At 42.3% G+C, this 16302-nt stretch overlaps 1 pseudogene, besides 2 other annotated features; it reads right to left on the reverse strand.

Annotated features, from left to right (window-relative positions):
- On the reverse strand, window positions 9550–10506 carry LOC729200 (small nuclear ribonucleoprotein polypeptide B2 pseudogene; annotated as a pseudogene).
- Window positions 10941–11050: an enhancer, noted in NCBI's record as "active region_25246". NCBI's record gives its function as "activates an Ori minimal core promoter by ATAC-STARR-seq in GM12878 lymphoblastoid cells {active_cell/tissue: GM12878}" and the evidence as "EXISTENCE:reporter gene assay evidence [ECO:0000049][PMID:35858748]".
- Window positions 15495–15789: a silencer, noted in NCBI's record as "tiled region #12512; K562 Repressive DNase matched - State 5:Enh". NCBI's record gives its function as "represses a minimal TATA promoter and a strong SV40 promoter by Sharpr-MPRA in K562 cells {active_cell/tissue: K562}" and the evidence as "EXISTENCE:reporter gene assay evidence [ECO:0000049][PMID:27701403]".

Raw genomic sequence — 16302 nt, forward strand, 5'->3', positions numbered from 1 at the left:
AAAACACTGATGAAAGAAATCATAGATGACACAAACAAATGGAAAAACATCCTGTATTAGTTCGTTTTCACACTGCTATAAGGAACTGCCCAAGTCTGGGTAATTTTATAAAGGAAAGAGGTTTAATTGACTCACAGTTCAGCTTGGCTGGGGGGGCCTCAGGAAATTTACAATCATGGTGCAAGGCAAAGGGGAAGAAAGGCACCTTCTTCACAAGGCAGCAGGAAGAAGTGCCCAGCAAAGGGGGAAGATATCCTTATAAAACTATCAGATCTCATGAGAACTCACTCACTATCATGAGAACAGCATGGGGGAAACCACCCCCCTGATTCAATCACCCACACCTGGTCTCTCCCTTGATGTGGGGATTATGGGAATTAGAATTCAAGTTGAGATTTTAACAGCCAAACCATATCACATCCCATGCTCTTGAACAGGAAAAATCAATATTGTTAAAATGACCATAGTACCCAAAGCAATCTACAGAGTCAATGCAATTCCTATCAAATTACCCATGCCATTTTTCACAGAATTAGAAAAAATGATCCTAAAATTCACATGGAACCAGAAAAGAGCCCAAATAATGAAAGTAATCCTAAGCACAAAGAACAAATCTGGAGGCATCACATTACCTGACTTCAAGTTATACTACAAGGGCTATAGTAACCAAAACAGTGTGGTACTGTTATAAAAATAAACACATGTATCAATGGAACAGAATAGAGAACCCAGAAATAAAGCCACATCCCTACAACCAAGTGATCTTTGACAAAGTCAACAAAAATGTACATTGGGGAAGTGATGTTCTATTCGATAAATGGTGCCAGCAAAATTGGATAGCCATATGCAGAAGAATGAAACTAGATCCGTACCTCTCACCACATATGAAAATTAACACAAGGTAGATGAACAACCTAAACATAAGACCTGATACTATAAAAACCCTCGTTTTCTTAAAAATAAGAAAACCTAGGAAAAACTCTTCTGGACATTGGCCTAGGTAAAGAATTTATGACCAAGTCCTGAAAAGCAAACACAATAAAAACAAAGGTAGACAAATGGGACTTAATTAAACTAAAAAGCTTCTGCACAGCAAAAGAAACAATCAACAGAGTAAACAGACAACCTACAGAATGGGAAAAGTATTTGCAAACTGCGCATCCAACAAAGGGCTAACATCCAGAATCTGCAAGGAACTCAAACAACTCAAGAAGAAAAAAGCAAATAACCTCATGAAAAAGTGGGCATAGGACATGAAGAGACATTCATCAAAAGAAGACATAAAGTGAGGCCAGGCTCAGTGGCTGACGCCTGTAATCCCAGCATTTTGGGAGGCCAAGGTGGGCAGGTCACAAGGTCAGGAGTTTGAGACCAGTCTGGCCAACATAATGAAACCCTGTCTCTACTAAAAATACAAAAATTAGCCAGGCATGGTGGTGCACACCTGTAGTCCCAACTACTAGAGAGGCTGAGGCAGGAGAATCGCTTGAACTTGGGAAGCAGAGGTTGTGGTGAGCTGAGATCGCGCCACTGCACTCCAGCCTGGGCAACAGAGCAAGACTCCGTCTCAAAAAAAATAAGACATAAAGTGGCCAACAAACATATTAAAATATGCTCACCATCACTAATCATCAGATAAATACAAATTAAAACCATAATAAGATACCATCTTACACCAGTCAGTATGGTTATTATTATTATTAAAACTGCTAAAAACAATAGATGTGGGTGAGGATGTGGAGAAAAGGAAATGCTTATACATTGTTGATGGGAATGTAAATTAGAACAACCACCATGGAAAACAGTATGAAACTTTCTCAAAGAACTAAAAATAGAGCTATTATTCAATCCACAATCCCACTACTAGGTATTTATCGAAAGGGAAAAATATTATTATATCAAAAAAATGCTGACTGGGCACAGTGGCTCACATCTGTAATTCCAGCACTTTGGGAGGCTGAGGTGGGTGGATCCCTGAGGTCAGGAGTTCAAGACCAGCCTGGCCAACATGGTGAAACCCTGTCTCTACTAAGAATATAAAAAAAAATTAGCCGGTCGTGATGGTGGATGCCTATAATCCCAGCTACTTGGGAGGCTGAGGCAGAAGAATCACTAGAACTTGAGAGGCAGACTTTGCCATGAGCTGAGATTGCACCACTGCACTTCAGCCTGGGTGACAGTGCAAGACTGTCTCAAAAAAAAAAAAAAAAAAAAAGATACCTGCACTTATGTGTTTATTGCAGCACTATTCACAACAGCAAAGATATAGAATCAACCTAACTCCATCAATGGTGGACTGAACGAAGAAAATGTGAGATCTACATCTAGATCTCATATTTTGGATCTCATATATATATTAATATACATATATACACACACATATATATATATCTAAAAGATATATATATATATAACTTTATTCTTTTTTATGACTGAGTAGTATTCTGTGGTGTGTGTGAATACTACTTAGTCATAAAAAAGAATGAAGTCATGTCTTTTGCAGCAATATGGATGAAACATCCATGGATGGAACTGGAGGCCATTATCCTTAGTGAAATAACTCAGAAACAGAAAGTCAAACATCACATATTCTCACTTAGAAGTGGGAGCTGAATAATGGATACACATGGACACACAGAGTGGAATAATAGACATCGGAGATGACAAAAGGTGGGAAGGGGTGAGAGGGTGAGGGTTGAAAACTTACCTATTGGGTAAAATGTTCACTATTAGGGTAATAAGCACACTAAAAGCCTAGACTTCACCCTATGCAATGTATGCATGGAAGAAATCTGCACTTGTACCCACCAACTATATACAATTTTAAAACTTTTTAAAATAAAAATATATATTAAATGAGTACTTTTTTCACATTTTACAGAAATACATGTTAACATTTTTTAAAATATGATTACATCTTTGCTTATTCAGGTTCTTTCAAGATATTAAGTTTCTCTGTATAGTGAAACACACAATGAAGAGTACCTATTTTATGTCTGTTATTTGTCTTCAAGGCGGGTAAGTTCTTACAGAGCAACAAGATTCTTTTAAGAGGACTCTGGATGTGATAATAACTAGCATTCTTTGATGGTCTCAAAGTGCACATGCTATTAGATTGATGCAAAAGTAATTGCGGTGTTGCCATTAAAAGTCATTTCGAAAACGGCAGTTACTTTTGCATCAACCTAATAGTTGAGTCCTTACAGTAATTCTGAGGGGGTATTATTTGTATTTCACACAAGTGGCCACTCAGATGCAAGAAATGAAGTAAATTACCTGAACTCAACATTGCTAAGAAGAAAGCAGAGCTGGGATTCAAATCGAGGTCTTCTGATTCCAAATTCCATACACCACACATCATGTACCAGTATTCCTTCTAACTTAACATTCTTAATTGCAGAAGACACTGAATATTAGAAAAAGGGAGGTGACTAAAATCAATTCTCACTTCCAAGCATGCTGTGGGGCTACTTTTTTTTTTTTTTTTTTTTTTTTTACCAGTTCCATACGTGTGTGTCTACTTGCCATTTCTCCCCTGTCCCTTCCTGTTCCCTCCTCTTCTATCCTGTCATCCACTCTCCTCTTCACTCTTATCTACCTTCCCATCTATCATCTTCTCTTACATACATCGATAGACTACAGGTAGACACTTTTTATTTCACCATAGCAGTAACTCAGATTTCCGATAAATGGAAAACAACATTAAATGCACTAATTTTAACATGTTATCATTGAGCTTGCAATGAGTTTTTTAAAAATAGTATTGATTACCTGAAAGTGTACTTGAGAAAGTGACTTAAATATCATTTTACAAGATTGGATTGGGTTAAGGACAATCTTCCTGAGTCTGGACCACATCTGTCAACCAAGCTACAGAGTTTGCAGGGAGGCGAGAATGAGTTTGGGCCGAAGGTCTTTGGGACCCTCACCCTGGAGGGCACATCTTTGAGTTTCTTCTTCTCCTAGGAATTCTCCTTTCAGGGTGAGTTAAATTAATTTGAACATACCTACCTGGCCATGAAGGGTTTGGTGCTCTGTTACATGAAAAGAAATGTCTGTGATTATGAAGATGATTAATATTTTTACTTTCAGATTGGTCCCCAAGGAAGAGAAATAATGGTTCCTGAGCCAAATGTATCTTCCACTGAGAGTGAGAAAATGTAAGTCACTTAGGGGAGAAATCTTGTTCTAGCCAAAAGGACAGGCAGTGGCTGCAAAAAAACAAGTTGTTGCAGTGCTTACAGCACTGATTAAAGCATCAGCCCCTCCTTAGCTTCTCCAATCCCACTCTAAGTCACCACTAATCTAATTCTACCAAGGCTCTCCGATAGATCCCATTCTGCAGTTTATATATTTGGTGGTAAATTTGTGTGTAAGTGATCCTAAGAAACTGCTAACCCACAACAACCATGATGCTTAAAGAAGATGGGGAAAGGGTTATCTCTCGTTCTCTTTGACGAAAGTGTCATTGGAAGGAAAGTCTGACGTATTCCCAGTTGGTTTTGTGCCAGACTCAGAAATCCATCTTAGGTGGGGAAACAGAGCACATTAGAAAATTAAATGATCTGGTAGTCTCTGATCCCAAAGGACTAAAAATCCAGTTGGAAACCAAGATCTAGACAGAAGAAAATCTAATAGCAAGCAAAGGGCCAATGACAATAAAGCCAACAAAATAAAAAGTAAGCCAGAACACCAGCCATAAGTTCAGGAAAGGGAGAAAAGAACATAACATCCTACAGAAGATTTTTTGGGGCAACATTAAAGGTTTTGAGCATAATCACACAGTTCAACCCTGTTTAGAAAGAGTACAGGTTTCTGCTAAAAGGTTGTAAGGGCCACAGGTAATGTTGGCATGCTGGTGAGACCTAGACTTTTGCACTGTTCCATCCACTATGCCAAGCCTGCTGCTCGAGATACAAGGGACCCTGTAATTGCTTTAATATTGCTGCTAACATGGAAATTATTAAATTCATTACCTGATCCCTCTGAATTCCAAGTCAGTGTCCCAATTAAAAAAAAAAGTTATTTCTTTTTTCTTTTTTTTTTTTTTGAGATGAAGTCTTGCTCTGTCACCCAGGTTGGAGTGCAGTGGCACCATCTCAGCTCACTGCAGCCTCTACCTCCCGGGTTCAAGCGATTCTCATGCCTCAGCATGAGATGCATTTTTAGTAGAGATGGGGTTTCACCACAGGCCAGTCTTGCACTCCTGACCTCAAGTGATCTGCCTGCCTTGGCCTCCCAAAGTGCTGAAATTATAGGCATGAGCCACTGCACCTGGCTGAAAAATGTTATTTTCATTTTAGTTTAATTTGTTCTTCTTTATAGGTCATGAAAAAAAGAAGCAAAAGTTTGTCCAGTGTCCTACTTCAGTGACAGAAGTAAAATGGCCACTTTTCACTTGTTGGTTTCCCTACAGTGCACCATATGGTTGCTGTGCCAGCGGGCTTAGGGGAGGAGGGGAAACCATGAGCCTCCCATGGCCTCAGCTCCAGCACTTGCCTCTCAGGCCTGCAGGACTGCAGGTCCCCACCCTGCGTTCCTATCCCAGACCATCCCAAGTCTCCTGTCGTTTAAAAGAAAGGAATGTGTTCACTTTTAAGACTAGAACGTTAAGCCTGAAATATAATTGGCTGCCCTCGATAAAGCAGAATTTGGGCCAAACAGGCCCTATCCTGAGAGAATGCATGACTTTTAATAACTAAAAACCAGGTACAGTTGGTCGTGAATGATAACATACTAGGGTGTTTCCAAATAACTCAAAGACCTTTTGCTGTTGGGAGACTGGCTACCTTGACTATTTATTAGATCCAATTGCAAGTAGAAACTACTCTTTAAAAAAAAACAAAAAACAAAAACGCAGCTGTCTATAGTCCAAAACCATGGAAACCAGCTCTCTCTGCAAACAATGAGCCTGCTTCCCGCCAAGACAGCCAGAGCTTCTCAGTTCTCATGATTTTCTTCCAAATCCCAAACACCAAATGCCTTTAAAATGCACAAAAGAGCAAGGAGCCTACTGAATTGGCAGTTATTCCTGCTCCTTTTTAGTCAATGTCTGTGTAAAGAAAGGAAAGGCATAAAAAGATATGTGTTTTGCTTGGTTAGAGTTTCCAAAGACAAGATGGCCTCAGGACAAGTTAAGCCTCTGCTTAGAGAGCTGCTTGGAGCAACCCATGGAGCGCTTCTGCATTTTCATGGCCAATGTATGTTTTCTTTCTCAGCAAAGGCCTTGTTCCAGGGGAAACTGAAATGTATGAGGTCCAGAAGGAACCCCATAGAAACCACACTGCATCTCAACAGGGCCACAGTCAGCACATAGTTTCCAGGTTATAAACCTCCCTCCCACTTCACCCTTCAATCCCAGAGAGTCTGCAGTCTGCTTTACAAACACTCTTGCGACATATGACTAGAAGCCCATGTGAACTGGAATCTTAAATGCACACCAAAACGCAGATTATGCTATCAGGGTCATCCTGCAAGGCCCCCTGTTCCCCCAGAGGCCAACCCAAGCAAAACTGAGGCACAGCTGAGGCCCCATGCTGTAAGAGGCTTTCCACCTCCCACCTCAGCAGCCTGCCCACGTCCACAGGCCCAAAGCAGTGTCCTCAGGCCCAAGGCAGTGTCCTCATGGACTGGGACCCTCTGTTCACACAAGACGGCTAGCTGTTACTCAAGCTACATCAGCACAGCCCAGGATCGCTTATCTCTTCCTGAGAACCTCTCCACTGCCTTGGGGTCAAGTTGCCCCTCAGTGCTCCCTGTATCTGCATATTGCTCCTACTCCAGCTCCTTCACCAGGCTGTGAGCTCCATTCTGTTCACTGCTGCATCCCTGGTCCTTAGTTCAGTGCCTGCTACTCAGCAGAAGCTCAATAGACATTTCTTGAAAGTTGTTGGAGCATCAGTGTTGGAGAGATCCATGCTAACTATCCATTCATTAGAATGAATCTCTATTGGTAGAAGTTCAGTGAAAGAAATGTGAGTAAAAGAGATATTTGGAGCAGAGGGCAACTTCCAAAAATCCATCAGATAGGCTGCCACCTGTGTATCAGCCTGCCCTGTGCATCAGCTGTAACCTTTATTGTGTCTTGGAGTTCTTTGAGAATGTGATTAAATCTATACACCCTTTATTCAAAAATACACACACACACACACACACACACACACACACACACACATGCATTGTTGTCTGTAATTTCAAGAGTTTTAGAGGATCCCCTGAAGCACATTTCTGGGACCTCAGGCTAAGAACACCTGCGCCATCTTAAAATTTGATACTTTTCTCTGCTTCTATTTTAGTCTTCTACCTCCCTGAGGGCAGGAAGGAAATCTTAGTCAACTCTGTGTCTACCATCATTCCTTGCACATAGTGGGGATCCCTTGAAAAAAATGCACACAAACCGAGAAAGCAATGAACCAGTGACTCTTGAAATACAGTAATAGCACCGATCCTAAGCAATCCACCATTTGCTTCTGTACTTTCCCTCCACCTACCCACCCATGGAAGCATGTCTAAGACTTGCAGAGTCAGAAATAAGGAGTGCTTCTGACATCTATGCAGAGCAAACAACCAAGAGTGCCTGCCCCAGGATATTGTCCTCTGTGGTGAGGGAGACGGTTGCAGGACTGTCCCCAGAGGATGCTTTCTAAACCTATGGGGGCAAGTTTTGGTTGTCACAATAATCAGGGGGCCACCGTCAATGTTTATTGGGTGAGACACCAGACATGTTGCAATGTCTAGGCTAATTCTGCATTGCAAAGAATTGTCCAAAGTCTCACATGACTCCCAATTGTACCATCAGATATTCATGTAGGTGAAAACATATTTATAGATCTGTGATTCTGGATCCTAACTCTGTGTTACAAAGTAATTTTTGTACAGTTCTTAAGGTACACTGAATTTTCCAAAAATGCAGCTACCACATAAGTCCATGTGAGATTGTAGATTGTTTGGTTGGAACTTTACCAAGAGCTGTTCACCTTTTGAAAAATCTCAATGCTAATGTCTACACCTCTGTTGGGATTTGAGCCAGCGGCGAAGCACACCTGTATCATGCTACATGTGAGAACCATTATATTCAGTGATTCTACATAGGTATGCAAGCTCTGACTACTTTATCATGTCATCTGTTGTAGTTGTACCCAAGCATTTACATATTTAAATGTATATTCCTCTTTAAAATTATTTTTTAACATTTCTCATTTATATTCCAGTAAGAATATTCTATTGAATTTCAAAATTATGTTTAGAAGTTTTGTTACCTAGATGTTTAATTTCAAGAGATTAAAAGAAATGTTACAAAAAGTTTCCTATAAAAAGGAAATTAAGTCTGACAGTGAACTACAGCAACACCATTTATATGGTGAATCATTAAGGATGCTTTTAGATGCAAGTAACATCATGCTAAATGTGGTTTGAAAAATAAAGATGTTAGTTTTCTCATAAAACAAGAAGCCCAGAGGTAGGTATTTTCAGTGTTGGCTTAGTGGCTTAATGAGGTGGAAAAGAACCCAGGTGACTGTCATCTTTCTGCTCGGCTACCTTCAGTGAGTTGTCATTTATCCTCAGGATTGTCCCTTCGAGGTTGCAAGAGAACTGCTGCAGCTCAGTCTCTATCCAAAAGGAAGAGGCACTAATTTTCCCTTGCATAGATCTTTTAACTAAAGAAGAAGGTTTTTTCCAGAAGCTCCAGGGAAGACTTTCATTCTGGTTTAATTCACCGGGATTTAACTAGATGCTGATGGCAATAAGGGGAGCTGGGAAAGCTAGTGTTTTCAGTATTAAATACAGGTGGCTCTGCTGGTGAGGCTCTGGACAGGGGACTCAGGGGGCACAGGTGCAAATGGCTGTTGGTTGCAAACATAACTGCTTGCTATGATTACTCAGAACAAAAAACACCTAACAAATGGTAGGTTTTAGAATGATATATCTATATGTTTATACTTCAACCAAAAGTATGGAAAAAAGTCATCAGTGAGACTATGTTTAATGGTATTGATTCTCCATACCCTTTTTCTTCCTAGTTGCCACAATTTATTGGTTTTTGTTTGTTTTTTGTTTTTGTTTTGTTTTTCTTTTTTTGAGACAAGGTCTTGTTCTGTTGCCCAGGCTGGAGTTCAGTGGCACGATCACAACTTACTGCAGCCTCAACCTTCTGAGCTCAAGCCATCCGCCTACCTCCAACTCCCAAGTAGCTAGGACTACAGCTGTGCCACCATGCATAGCTAATTTTTTCTTTTTCTGTAGAGACAAGGGTCTCTCTATGTTGCCCAGGCTGGTCTTGAACTCTTGGACTCAAGTGATCCTCCCACCTCGGCCTCCAAAGATGTTGGGATTACAAGCATGAGCCACCATGCCCAGCTCTAGTTGCCATAATTTGATTTTAAATCAAAATGGCATGTTCTATGTTCAAAAATGATTCAACTGTGCCACCTACCTCATGGCTTTGGTGTGGGTGACAAGTGAGAATATATGCAATTACACCTCTAAGATATTCTTGATCTGATAGCATTATCCCCAGAGAATGCATATGAAGCGTAGCTCTAAGTTTATTTATTTATTTTTCACAGAATACAAATCAAAGTTTATTGTACAAAATTAAGGCCTTCGTATTTCATAATTCACCAAGGCTAAAGAAATACTAGATAATTTAAGTCCTTCACAAAAATTTCACTTTCACTTCCCCTAATCTCTATTACAATGACCCAACCAAATGTTAGCAAAACAAACACTATAAATAACACCAAGTCCTTTAAAGATGACTCTCCCAAATTTTATTTCTTGGCATAGGTGATCTTCATAGCATGGGATGTTGTGATCTTAAATCCCTGTAAAGCATCCCTGGCAGCTCCAGCCTTCCCATCATTTTCAAATTCAACAAAAGCAATGTCATGCCTCCCTGGTACTAGACATACTTCCTTGAAGCCAGGGAACTGATTAAACAGCATGGATAACATCATCTCATTAGTCTCTTCTGGTAAGTTATTAAGGAATAAAATATAGTTTGGAGGGTAATCGAGGACCTGAGGATTTGGTGTTGAATTTCCTTGGGTACTAGCTGAATTTGGAGTTCCCTAGCCAGGCCTTTTGTTTGTGGTTGTTGCAGTCTGTTCCACAGTTTTGGCTTTTTTCTTTTCTTTGTCAGCAAAAGTGCCACACATTTCAGATATTATATCCAAATCTGTTTTTGCATATGTATTCGCATTGGTTTACCATAAAATGGAAATCCTTGTGACTGTCTCTAAGCATTTGTGGATGAGCCCAGTTCCTTAAATATGACAAAGCCCTGCCCCTCATCTTCATGGTCTTTAAAGCCACAAAGTCCACCACATGACCAAACTGAGAAAACAGGGCATATAGGCATCTCTTCAATTCTTCCTTTTTAATTTTGTCATTCATATTGTTGATATAAATTGTATGATTTGGTCTGATATCCATGTTTGCGTTAAATTCTTCAGAAAGAGACAGTAAATAATCTAAGGCCTATGCCATCTCCCGTAAGAAACAAAAACTACTCTAAGTTTATTTTAAGCTAGGTTTCACAGCCTAAACGAAAATTAAAATGGAAAAAAAAATGTGTGAGACTGAAATTTTGCGATCTAACTTTCAAATTCACACAGAGATCTGATAGGCTAGACTACTAGAATATTGAGAATGCAACCTTTAAAAAAATGGAAATAGCAAAAAGGAGAATCTTCTGTCCTGTTTTAATCCCCACTGGCCGTGCCCTGTCGAGATCTAGAACACAATTAGGCACCAGAACCAGGAGCCAACAAAGGGTGATGCTGTTCTCTCCAGCTGCCACATGCTGAGCATCTCCATGCTCTTTGGTGCTGCTCAGTGGAGCCAGAGCTAACCCCAGGGACCAGATGTCTGGGTTTGCCCAGGAAGGTCTCACTTCACTCATACTACTGATATGCACAAGAGGCAAGGAAATACCGGGTAGTAGAGGGTGGTTCCCCAGCAAAGGCCCCACCCTCAAGCCTGGTCACCCAAGGCCTTAAATGGGAATAGGCATTCCTGTTTTTGTCCCCAACTGTTGCCTTTTCCAAGACCACCCTGGCCCACCACACCCCCCATCCTGTACCCATAAAAATCTGCTCCACGAGCAGAAGCATGGCAGAGCAGCAGAGCAGCAGAGCGGCATGGCAGAGAATGAGAGAAGAGAGGAAGCACCTGAGAGGAGTTTGGCTGGGGGCAGTCGGAGAGGAGATCAGCTTCAGGATGGCTGAACTCCAGGGGAAGATCATCTTCCCACTCCATCCCCTCTCCAGCTTCCCATCCCACTGAGAGCCACCTCCATCACCCAGTAAAATCCCCGCATTCACCATCTTTCAAGTACATGTAACCTGATTCTTCCTGGATGCAAGGCAAGAATTTGGGATGCACTGGGTGCAGAATCCCAAAAAGGCTGTCACCCTGACTCTTCACTGAGCTGTTTAACACTTAAGCCATCCCTGGACAGCAGGGCTGAAAGAGCACTGTAATACTCGTAGACACTGCCATGGGGCCAGAGCCCAAAAGTGCTCACCCTGGCTCCGGCACCTGCTCACCGGCATGCTCCCCTCCTGTAAGTGGTTTGAGCATGTGGTGGCAGAGCAAACAAGCCACACCCCTGTTGAAAGTCCCACAAAGGGGTCCAGGGAGTCTCCCATTTCATTACTCCTACCCTAATTAAAACTGTGCTGGTTTGGGGATAGTTACCCCATGAATCAATTTGGAAATTCTAGACCATAAAATTTCGACTCACACCCAATCCCTCAGCTGAAGAAAGAAAAGCTAAAAGAAGGGGAAAGCTGTAGGGTTGGGGAGTTGGAGCAGAAGAGGGTTAAGCAGGAAGAAAAAAAAAGAGTAGGCCATTAAGAAAATAAAAACTCAGGCCCTACATTAGGAAGAACAAAAATTCAGAATGCCATTCCTCCAGGTATTCTCCTTCTTGGCTGGGAGGGCTGGTGGGGAAGGAAAATTTCACAACAGCCCAATGAATGGATGGCTTGTTTCCCTCCAAGGAGGCTTACAGCTGGACACCAGTAGTCCGAATAGCAGTCCTGTTTCTCAGGCAGGCTTCCAAGGCCGCCAAGTGTTACAAGCCCTTCATAGAGCAGTGGATTTTAAAGGTGAATTGAAACTATTTTAAGATCCCTCTTGGGTAGCAGATGGACAGAATGACGGATTGTTACTATGGTGTAGTTGTTTTCATTCCTGGCCCAACTGCCACACTAAGCACATAGCACTGTGGGCTCCACAAGGGACAGGCATGGTTTGCTCTCTCTGCAAGCACGATGTGTTCTGTAAAACATGCAAGGAAAGAAGAGTGGGAACCAGATTACAAGTTCTTCTAAACAAAATAGAAAAACATTTACTAGGCCATAATAGGACTAAGCAAGCTAATGCAGAATTTCACTTTGATATTATCTTTGAGAGCCAGTTGGGGGAAGCGGGGTGACATGTATGTGAAATTGTACTTTCAGGAGTTTTATTCAATAAGCCAAAAACTAAGAAGTCTTTTGATTGGATCAGTGTTACCCAATTTTGGGGCCAAAATAATAATAATAAACTTTGGTATAGCTCAGTGGTTAAGAGTTCCAGTTCTAGGCCAGGAGCGGTGGCTCATGCCTGTAATCCCAGCACTTTGGGAGGCCGAGGCGGGAGGATCACAAGGTCAGGAGATTGAGACCATCCTGGCTAACACGGTGAAACCCCATCTCTACTAAAAATACAAAAAAATTAGCTGGGTGTGGTGGCGGATGCCTGTAGTCCCAGCTACTTGGGAGGCTGAGGCTGGAGAATGGCGTGAACCCGGGAGGCAGAGCTTGCAGTGAGCCGAGATTGCACCACTGCACTCCAGCCTGGGTGACAGAGCTAGACTCCATCTCAAAAAAAAAAAAAAAAAGAGTTCCAGTTCTAGATTAGATAGCCTTGATTCAAATCTCAGCTTCATCAGTTACTAGTAACTCTAGGCAAGTTCTTTAACCGCTTTGTATCTTGGTTTTTTCATCAGTAAAATGCTGATGTTGCCTCTGTCATAAGGTTGTTGGGAAGAGCTGATAAACAAAATGCTTAGGACACTGCCTGGCACATCCTGGAGCTTGTTAATGTCAGTTGTGGTGGTAGTTGTCACTATTACAAGGTATAATTTCAAGGTTCCATTGTAATCTCTTAAATGTGCTTAGCTATGCTCAATTTGACAGCCAGGGAAAAATGTTTTTTTCAGAGATAAGCTACTGATATTTTGATAATGCTCCCAGTTTCCCTCCCTTGAGTAGGTCAGGAAGGAGGAAGGTTTGTGAAAGAACGGAGCTATTATAAAACATAGTTACAGGGTTGTATAGCTCTAGAGGGTTTCTGTGCTGCCCTGGTTACTTCTCTTGCTGAAAAAGAAGGAAGTGTTTGGGAGGCTGAGGCTGGCAGATCACGAGGTCAAGAGATCGAGACCATCCTGGCCAACGTGGTGAAACTCCGTCTCTACTAAAAATACAAAAATTAGCCAGGTGTGGTGGCATGAGCCTGTAGTCCCAGCTACTTGAGTGGCTGAGGCAGGAGAATTGCTTGAACCCGGGAGGCAGAGGTTGCAGTGAGACGAGATCGGGCTGCTGCACTCCAGCCTGGCGACAGAGCTAGACTCTGTCTCAAAAAAAAAAAAAAAAAAGAAGGAAGTGGTAAGAATTCATAGCAATTAGAGTCACCAAAGCTGGGAAGGTAGGACTGAAATGTTTTTGTTCCACAAAAGTTTTCTGAGCCTTTGCCTACACAAAGTACTTTATTAGGACATTTCCGTGCTACCTATGCGATGCTCAAGGACTTCATTCATTCACTCATTTATTCCACGAGTCTGTGAGCATTAACTATGGATCAAGAACTGTCCTAGGGGCTGGAGATAGAACAACAGACACAACAGGGTCCTAACCTCAGGGCCTCACAGAGTATGGGGGATGCTGACCATTAGCAATCATTAGTGATAGCTCAGGAACTCAGGCAGCAGAGAGGAAAGGGCCAAACTCATCACTTGATGCATGGGAAAGCAATCTCAGGTACCAGCACAGGCAGAGTCCACATATGGAAGCGTTTCAAAGTGGAGAATTCCTGATTTGATGTCAGATTTAAAAGAGCAGGTAAAACTCAGAGTCAATTTAGTATGAGCAGTGAGGGGAGACAGGGGAGTTGGCAAGGCAGGGAGTAGGTACCACTCATTAGTTCTTTGCCTGCAGCGTGACCAGCGTTGTGCTAAGCCCTTTCCGCCATGCTCTATGACAATCCACTGAAGTCAGGATGGCTGTTGTCTTTTGACAGATGAGAAACCCGAAGCACAGGGTATTTAGGTGGCTTGGTCAAGGTCTTCCAGCTGCTTAGTTGTGCTGGGTTAAGCAAATGGCTGTGGCTTCAAGCTTTGGTTTTTCCACTGCCCGACGGGGGCTCGGTTCCAGGAAGGCAAGTGGAGTCCATCCAGGATATTATGAAAGGAAAACTAAGAGCATGTTGTTACATCCAGAATGATGGTAATATGTTTAAAGTTAGATTATATTAGGAAACTGGCAATACTATGTGTCCCTAGGTGTGATCCAGCCCGGATGGCAAGCCAGGCAAATAAAGTTCATTATCGATAGCCTGATATGCCCAAAGTGTTAATTTGCATATAGGACTTGCACTGGCTGCTCAATCAGGCTACTTGTGATTTCTCTTTCCCTGAGATACCCATTTGGCCCAGGGATGTATGCAAATGAGTTCTGGATGTTCATAAAATCTCTGTCTCCCCACAAAATGCAGATTGCCAAGTGTTGCATCTCTTCCAACCAAGTTTTCATTCTCATCTCTTTGGTTCTTTGATTGATTTTGCTACTCCATTTCTAGAACCTTCTTCACCATCACCCCATCTTGGGTTGGTTAGTGTTTATGTTCAGCTCTAAGTAACAGAAACCTGACTAAACAGTGGCTTCAAAGAACCATGAGGTTTAATTTTTCTTAGTGGCAGTTGCTAGCATTAGTGGAGATGTGAAAATGTTGATCCTGTCAAGAAGTAAATTGCTTGCATAGATGGTAAGGTATTTCATGCTGCCCCGAGTCTCCAGATTGTTATTTACTGTCCTAGATGGGGCCATTTAGTTTTCATGACAGGCTGCTGACTTTCTAGTTACTGTCTTCTCTCTAGCTGGCCTGGCTCCATTCTAATTTCATCAGATTCAGTCTATTATTGGGCCAACCTGGAGCTTCCCTGGGAAGCTGCTCCACTTGCCAGTGGTTCAGAATGTAGGTCCTGGGTTAGCTCTGAGATGCCCTTGGTTTTGAGTTGCTGAAGCAGAGCCTTCACACACCCTCAGTCCCATGCTCTTCTGAGGGCACAGAGAAACCATGACATGGGAACAGGACATCATTGAAAAGCCTACTGTGTGCCAGGTGCTTTAGACACTTTCTCCCTGAAGCCTCATGAGAACCTAGGAAGTGAATCCTATTATATTTTCCATTTGGGAGATGAGGACACAGGTTTAGCAAATGTAAATAACAAGACTGTATGGCCAGCACGGGTCTGTCTGATCCCAAACCCTATTCTCTTTCCAGTCACAATGTGCTGAGCCCTGAAAGTTCCAAATTGTCCTAAGTTCCTTAAGTACCCGCATCAAGGGTGGGGCAGGGGCGGAGAGGAGAAGGCAGAGTAGACACCATATCTCAGGGAACCTGGGATCAGGCCAGAACCCCAGGGGATGTGTGCTACAGAAGAAATTTCCCTGGAGTCTGCTAGTGACACAGACTAAGGTCTCTGGTGATTACATAACAGCCATAGCTCCCCCAGACAGCTGGTATCCACAGTGGCAGAAACAGGGGATCCCTTAGCTAGTTTAGATATTCTATAAGAGCTAGGAGAAATCATACCTAGTTCTGCACTACGGTTAGGCAGAAAAGTTTCAAAATGCTGAGTTGCCTTGCTCCTGGCAAGAGTCACATCAGCTCCAGGTGGTGGCCACTTATCTTGTGCTCATCAAAAACTATAATCAGTGGTTCTATATCTCTCTCTTTTTAAAAATGACTTAGATCTAATAATCATTTAATAATCATACAGGGGGCAGTACACAGACCCTCACTGCCCCAACGGCATTTGCAAAAGGCACTGGGGCAGAAAGGGTCTGCGTACTGCTCCCCAAACTGATCCCCATCAAGTAAAGATTTCCACAGTGGCCCTTGTGTTCTGTCTCTGGAAGGAGAGGTAGCAATCTGCTGATCCTGTGGGCTCAGGTCTCCTTGCCCATCCCTCACTCCTCACCAGCATTAGGAGCCCCCATACCCCTCTCTGGTCATCATTCTTTGTTCTATGGC

The sequence above is a fragment of the Homo sapiens genome, chromosome 6 (assembly GCF_000001405.40).
Source record: "Homo sapiens chromosome 6, GRCh38.p14 Primary Assembly".
NCBI lineage: Eukaryota > Metazoa > Chordata > Mammalia > Primates > Hominidae > Homo > Homo sapiens.